This window comes from Homo sapiens, chromosome 1 (assembly GCF_000001405.40).
Source record: "Homo sapiens chromosome 1, GRCh38.p14 Primary Assembly".
Lineage (NCBI taxonomy): Eukaryota > Metazoa > Chordata > Mammalia > Primates > Hominidae > Homo > Homo sapiens.
The window spans coordinates 211908418-211916643 of NC_000001.11; positions in this window are offsets into that span (position 1 = coordinate 211908418).

Consider the following 8226-nt stretch of genomic DNA (forward strand, 5'->3'; position numbering starts at 1 on the left):
GCTGCAGTGAGCCAAGATCATGCCACTGCACTCAGCCTGGAGACAGAGCAAGACTCTATCTTTAAAAAAAAACAAAACAAACTACTTTCTTAACAAATTTCAGGTATACAATCTATTATTAACTATAGTCACCATGCTGTACCTTAGGTTTCCAGAACTTATTCATCTTACAACTACAAATTAGTTCCTTTTAGCAACACTTCCCTATTTCTCCCACACCCTGACTTCTGTAATCACCCCTCTGCTCTCTGTTTCTATGAGTTCAACATTTTTTAGATTTCATGTGTAAGTGAGATCATGCAGTATTCGTCTTTCTGAGTCTGGCTTACTTCATTTAGCATAATGGCCTCAAGTTTCATACATATTGTTGCAAATGGCAGGATTTCCTTTTTTTTTTAAGTCTAAAAAAATATTTTATCGATTTCACCATATCTTGCCAAATCAGTGGGGAATTGAGATCTTAAATAATTTTTAGCAAACCAGACATGGGAAAAAGAAATTAATTGTGTGGGGCTCTGATAACTAATTTAAGATATATGAATTTCATATTTACACTCTTTAATTAAAAAAAAAAGAAAAGGAAAAAGAAAGCCTAGCACAGTGCCTGGCATAAAGTAGGCACTTAAATGTCAGTTCCCCTTCCTGTGAATTCCCTTTCAGCATGTTTATTCCTCTCCAGGGGCTGTCCTGGCTCACCTAAAACCAAGTGATGTAATCCAGGATGGCAGAGGGAGCTGCTGCTGCCCAGAGGGCCCAGAGCAAAGGTGGTGGCAGCAATGTAATGTCAAGGGTTGTCTAGTAAAATGGCAAGTGCCACTACTGGGGAGCAGCACCCTGAACACCGAGAGGTGGTGACGACCTACATAACCCATGCACAGCCTTCTCCTCACTCATCCAGGACCCTCCTAGCTGGCTCTCCCCTTCTCACCCCTCTCTCCTCTAATAGCCACATCCTATAGCCTCAAGGCCACTATCACTGGCTTGCCGTGGGAAGGAAACAGCCTGTAAGGGCTACAGCAGCAGGGGGGCACGTGTTATGTAGCCCCCCACTGCAGGAGCTCACCCATTGCATGCGTGCACCTGCTGCCTAACTGATGGGGACAGGGGTGATCCCCCAGTAGGCACTTCACTTCTTGTTTGTTCTGTTCAGGCAGGTCAGAAAGTGCAGGAATGTGATGTGATAGATTTTCCTAAGTTCAATTAGGGCGATTAAATAGATGTCTCTATTTTTGGATGTTTGAGTAAATTCCTGTCTGGATTGCCTAAGCGAAAGGTCACTCCCGTTGAATCTAAAGCCTCATGTTGAACTATGTCCACCGTCAAGAAGCGAGCATCCATAAGGAGAGGAAGAAAAGGACAGGACACCAACGACATTGCTATTTGGGAAGCTCCCTGGGAAAGAATAAGCATGAAGATTATTATGTTGAGCTCTAAAACAAAACACTCAGAACCACACACACACACACACACACACACACACACACACACAAATTGACACCAGTTGTATGTGAAGCCTTGTGCTAGGTATGAAAAGGAAAGAGGAAGAAGCCCTTGTTCTGAAGTCCTTCAGTTGCACAAAGAAACAGGGAAGACAAACTTATCCTAAAAGAAATGTTAGTGAAGTAAAACATAGCATGCTCCATATGTCAGAGGGAAGGGACAGTGAATGAAATGAATCTGGAAAAAAAATGAGTTTGTTTAATCATTCATTTATTCTTTCAATCATTCACTCTACAGACATTTACTAAGTACGAAGTATGTGCCATCCACTGTGATAGGGACTAGAGACACATCACCAACTGGACACAGACCTTGCCCTTCAGGGGCCCCTGGGTAGAAGTGGGAGACAGATAGCTAAGCAAGTAGAAGCAGGAATGTGTCATCGGGGCTATCATAGACATGGGGACAAGGTTCAGGGTGAAGCCAACCAGGAGGGAGTCTGTGGGCAGAGGCCAGGAGGAGGCTTGGGAGAAGCGGTGGCGAAGGTGGCAGTTCTGACAAGCAGGTGTGTGGCAAGCAGGCGCAGTTCTGGGGTGGTGAGAGTGAAGGTGGGAGCTAGTGCTGGGAGACGGCAGAGGCTTAGGAAGCCAAGCTCCTAAAGGAATTTCTCCTGCTCCATGCCATTAAAATGTGGAAAGCAACAGTGTTGTAGGAAAGATGCCCACTGTTCTAGGGAGAATGTGATGATGGAGATAGGTGTGTGACCACTGAACTCTGTGAACTAGCTTCATTGCTGCTGGTCAGCTCCTGTGCTCATCAGAGCAGCTGGCTCTCAGGCTGGTGACACCTAATTGGCACAGGGGCCACCTTGATGATGCAAAGAGCACGCTGTCTCACCAGACCTCCTTTTAGGAAATGTTACTTTAAAACTGCCACTCTGAAGCAGACAGAAAAGAAGCAGGAGCTCCTCATGGACTCTGCATAGGTGCAAACTTGTGTTGGAAGACTGGCTCCTTATTTAACAAATAGACAAAGCACTTGTATTAGTAAGAGCTTATTGGTTGTGAGTCATGGGCACTCAAGCTGGCATAAGTAATAAGAATCAATTTATTATAAAGCTATAGGGCTGTCTCTTTACTGGAGGGCAGGAAGGCCCCGGATCCCAGGAAGAACCAAAAACAGGGAAGTGGGCAGCCACCCACAGGGAGCCAAGTGGTGCCTCTCTCTGTCTCTGTATCTCTCTAGGCATCTGCTTCCTCTTTCTCTCTCTCTCTGTCTCTGTCTCTCCCTCCCTCCTCCCCTCCCTGACCACCTCCTACTCCCATCTTCCTCTGTCTCAGCATAGCAGAATATGACCATCCCTTGCCCTTGCTTCAAATTACAGCTCCCATCCCACGGAAAGCGTGGATCTGTCTTGGACACAATTCCAGATGTGTGCTCTCTCGGGGAGGGGCTCTGACTCAGCCAAGGACAGACAGCAGGGTTCACACTGAATGGAGGGTGCTAGGAGCAACCACTGTGGGCAAGGGGCAGTGAAGAGGGCTCTTGTGAGTTAGGCAGGCACCCCCAAAGCCATAGTTCTTCATATCTCTGGCCCCTGGTCCCTGGAGACAATGGTCACTGCTTTACCTGGCTATTGGACTGATTTGATGAGATAATGTATGTAAAGCAACTGCTGCCCAGTGGGCCCTCAGTAAATGGAGGAGATTATAATTCTAATTCTAATTATTATTATTATTTTTTGAGATGGAGTCTTGATCTGTCACCCAGGCTGGAGTGCAGTGGCACGATCTCGGCTCACTGCAACCTCCACCTCCCAGGTTCAAGCGATTCTTCTGCCTCAGCCTCCTGAGTAGCTGGGACTACAGGTGCATGACACCACGCCCAGCTAATTTTTGTATTTTTAGTAGAGACGGGGTTTCACCATGTTGGGCAGGCTGGTCTCCAACTCCTGATCCGCCCACCTCAGCCTCCCAAAGTGCTGGAATTACAGGCATGAGCCACTGCGCCCAGCCGATTATAATTATTATATTAGTCAATAAAGATATCTGTGATCTGTTTAGGAAAGATTGTGCTTTCTTCCCTCCACTGGCAATGTGCCTTCTTTCCTCCACCAAAGCTGTTCACATTAACACAGAGATGTGGGGCAGGGCCTCTCTTCCTCTCTCAGTCCCCACCCCTCTCATCTCTTGGTTACAACTTATTAAAACTCCTGCCTCCACATGCCCCCAAGCTTTCTTTGCTATTACAAATCAATCATGCACTCTTTCAGCCCTTGCTACCCCCATAGGTACTCATCTGTAATGACTATATTTAGGAATGTTAGGTTCATATGGTGATTAGATATCTTCCCTCTCAAAGTCTAAGACTGTGGACTGAGAGACTTTTCTGAACACCCAGGACATTGCCACACATCTCATGTTTACCTGGTTATATTTGTTGAGTCATCATATTTTCATAGGAAGGGCAATTTCCATTTATAGCCTCATAAAAGGAATCTCAGGAAGTCATTTATTTCGGGTCACTGCCTTTGGCCAGGATAAGACTTCAGCTTCCTAAATAAATGAGTGTGTATTTTATTTGTACTCCCACATAAGCCTATGGTTGTACAATCTGAGATTTGGAAGGGACCTGGAGGGTCTTCTGGGCCAGGCACCTCCCAGGGTGAGATTCTGCTATCCACGCCCCCTGTGACATGGGCATCTGGTCTGCAGGAGAACAGGGGGGTTGTGGCCTTCCTGGGAAGTTCATTCCATCTTTGCTCCTTTTTTTTTTTGACAGAGTTTCACTCTTGTTGCCCAGGCTGGAGTGCAGTAGCATGATCTCAGCTCACTGCAACCTCTGCCTCCCGGGTTCAAGCAGTTCTCCTGCCTCAGCCTCCCAAGTAGCTGGGATTACAGGGGCCTGCCACCACACCAGGCTAATTTTGTATTTTTAGTAGAGATGGGATTTCACCATGTTGGGGCGGCTGGTCTTCAACTCCTGACCTCAGAAGATCCACCCGCCTTGACCTCCCAAAGTGCTGGGATTACAGGCGTGAACCACTGTGACCGACCTCTTTTTTTACAAAATAGAGCGTTCTTCTTCGTATGAAAAATATTAACTCCGCCTCTGTGTCACTGCCATTCAATGTTCCTAATTCTGTAGGACCAGAACTACTGCCTCTTCCCCGTGACACCTGTTCCCCCACACCGAGTGAGGGCGTGTTCATGATACCATGCCCCCTCCAAGTCTCCTTCTCTTCCTCCCAGTTGTCCTTAAGTCCTTCTCCAGAACACACAGTTTACAGACCTTTGTCTCCCCTCTCACACCTTGACATGTTATGTTTCCCTTTGTGAATCTTAGAGCTGAGAATTTAGCACTGCACACACACTCCAGCGGGCTCTGAAGGCGGTGTGGGGGTGGGAGTAGGACCTTCTTTGTTCTAGAGCTAGCTACTGTGGTTTTAGGAATGCTGTGTGAATTTGAGCTAGCTTTTTCTTTTATTTTTGGTAGAACGATCTCAATTTTGGTTCATATTAAGTTTTAAAATCCTCGTTTTTTTAATCATGGAAAATTCAGGGGAGAAAAAGCAAAACATGCAAAGATAAAGAAGAGAACAACAACCATATTGTAACCTTACCTCTTCAAGATAAGTATTGTTCACATTTTGGTATATATTCTTCCAGGCATTTTCTATGCGTACACACATTCTCTCTCTCTCTCTCTCTCACACACACACTCACATGCAGACATGAACACACAGACACACGTACACATGAACACACACACACACACACACACACACACAAGTGGGATTAAGCATCTGTGGTAAATTAAAAATGACTCCTAATTCTTTGCCACTCCCCGCACTGAACGGTGGGGTCTGTTTCCACTCCCTGTGTATCCAGGCTGGGCCTGAGACTAATCTGTACCAATAGATTGAAGTGGAAGTAACACTGGGTAGCTTCCAAGGCTGGGTCTTGAGAGACCTCAACTTCTGCCTTCATCTCTCGGAGCCCAGCCACCATGTGAGGAGGACTCACTAGCCATGTGAAGAGGCGCACATGGAGGAGAATGGAATCCTGTGGCTGAGAACGCCAGTAAAGCTCCAGATGGTCCCAGTACCAAATGTGAGCTGCCCCAGAGCCCCAGTCAGTACCAAGTGATACAGAACAATCCACAGAATCATGGGAAGTAGTAAATTGTCATTTTAAGCCACTAAATTTTGGGATAGTTTGCTAAAACAGCAATTGATGACTGAAACAACTACACAGAAAAATAGTATTACATCGTGCTTACTATGTGCTCGGCGGTTATAATTTTTAAATACATATTAACTCACATAACCCTTACATTAACCTGATGCAGTAAGTACTATGATTTTATATTATTATCCCCACTTTACAGATGAGGAACCTGAGGTGCAAGTGAGCAAGCAATGGGGCTGGGATTTGAACCTGGGCAGTCCATTAGGATCCATGCTCTAAACCATCTGTGCTCTAAACCATCATATCCCACTGCCTCTCTGCTGCTTCCTTTCATTTAAGACATCACGAACAACTTTAATGTCAAGAAATATCAACCTACAACATGATACTTCAAGCTACATGTTGAAATCTGTTGAAATACTGATTTGAGCTCCAAAGTACTAGCAATCTCTTCTAGTTTGGGGATTATCTTCAGTGGATTTATAGCCTATTAATGTCTTTGAGTGTTGGTAATTTTTCTTTTTTTTTGAGATGGAATTTCGCTCTTGTTGCCCAGACTGGAGTGCAATGGTGCAATCTCAGCTCACTGCAACCTCCACCTCTCAGGTTCAAGTGATCCTCCTGCCTCAGCCTCCCAAGTAGCTGGGATTACAGGTGTGTGCCACCATGCCCAGCTAATTTTGTATTTTTAGTAGAGATGGGGTTTCACCATGTTGGTCAGGCTGGTCTTGAACTCCTGACTTCAGGTGATCCACCCACCTAAGCCTCCCAAAGTGCTGGGATTACAGGTATGAGCCACCACGCCCAGCCTTTTTTTTAGGGTTGAAGTTTTTGAATAAGACAGAACTCAGGAATGAGCCTCCATGCACCCACCTGAGATTTTCCAGAGCAACATCATTCAGTAATAGTCTGTAAGTGTAGATTGTTTAAAAATCTAGTATCTGACCAGTGTTCTATGATCTTAGCCACTTGTTCCCAAGTGCAGGGTGAGAGACAGGCCACATAAGAATAACCTGGTACTTACAAAAAAGTACAGACTCACAGGCCTTGCCCCAGACCCCCGAGTAATAGCATTGCTGAAAATGGAGCCCCGGAATCTGTATTCTAACATCCCTCCATGTGATGCTGATGACAGCTAGGTTTGGGAACCATTGATCTAATCACCATTTCTCCTTCTTATCCATATTGATGGATTTATTGAATCCTCTACCAAATTCCAAGTCCACTAAGGGAATTTGCTAGTGACCATTTGAGAAATGTCCTGGCTCTGCTCTTCACCAGCTATATGATTTCATCTCTGGACATTTTTTATCTGTCAAATAAGGAAGTTGGATTAATTATTGCAGTGGATGCCATGGTGCTGTGGTGAGCCCACACATCCCATCTTCAAGATCCAGTCACTCATTCCCTCAACTGTTGGCAGTGTTGGTTGGCTGCTGCCAGTTCTCAGGTGTTCCAAGTTCACGTTTCCTCCAGGGGTGAAGCCCGTGTCCATTGACTGGTTGATGAGGAAGTATAACCTAACCTCCTACACCCTTGTCTCAAGGTGGGCCAACTGTGAAGAGTTGTCCCATGGGTTTGGCCTGAGACCTCTGTTGCATCTACACCACAGTTCAACCCATCCCTCTGCCCTTGCACTCTCTTCACTCCCCCATAGGTGTGGGTCCCAAGGGCATTCCTCAATAAGCTTCTTGCACACAACCTCTATCTCAGTAGTTTCCTAAGAAACCCACTACCACAATGACTGTTGGCACAATGATCTTTTGCTTCTGACTTGGATTGAGTTGACAGCAAAGATGCCTCTTAGGACCTTTTCAAACACCTTGGGCTCGTTGTTGAGCTTGAAGAGCCTTCTTCTCTTCAGCCTCCTCCCATTCATTCTTCATTCATTGAGCAAACTTATTGTACCCCTACTATGTGCCAGGCCCTAAGCTCAGCTGGGTATTCAGAGACTTGCCTGTGTCTCAAATAGTGGAAAAGAATAAGCACTTAGAAGCTGAATGGCTCCTCTGTCTCTGTGATTTGTTATCACTGTGCTGTTTCCCAAGCTATGGGACTAGTCCATCTTCTTGTCCTGAACTTCACCTAATAGGCCTCTTTATTGCCCTGCCCACGGTTTGTAAGGCCCCTCTCTGTAGTGACTTTAATCTTCCTGACACTATTCTTATGAGTTTGTGTCTTTCTTTCTATTCCCTTTTTAGCTTCCAGGTTCCTTCTTCCAGCTCTTGCAGCCAGCGTGGGCAAGGGCCAACATCAATGTTTTATCCATTTAGGACACTAGTGTCTATTTCAGCCTTATGGGGCTTTCAGTAGTAGAAAATTTGGGGAAAAGGGTCTCAAAACCTTCCAGATGGGCTGGGGCAGAAGTAGGGGCTCAGAGTCCAGTTTCCATCCAATAATCCATGTAGGGCCAACCCACCTCAGGCAAAACTGAAATTAATCAGACATTGCTGCTGCCACCCCTCTTTTGGTCAACTCCAGCCCCTGAGGGTGTTCTTCAGCCCCATCTCCCCATTCGCCTTCACAGATCTGCAGCCTTCCTACTTTATTTTCTGAACACTTCCCCCTTCCTTTGCTGTCAATCATTTTCATTTTT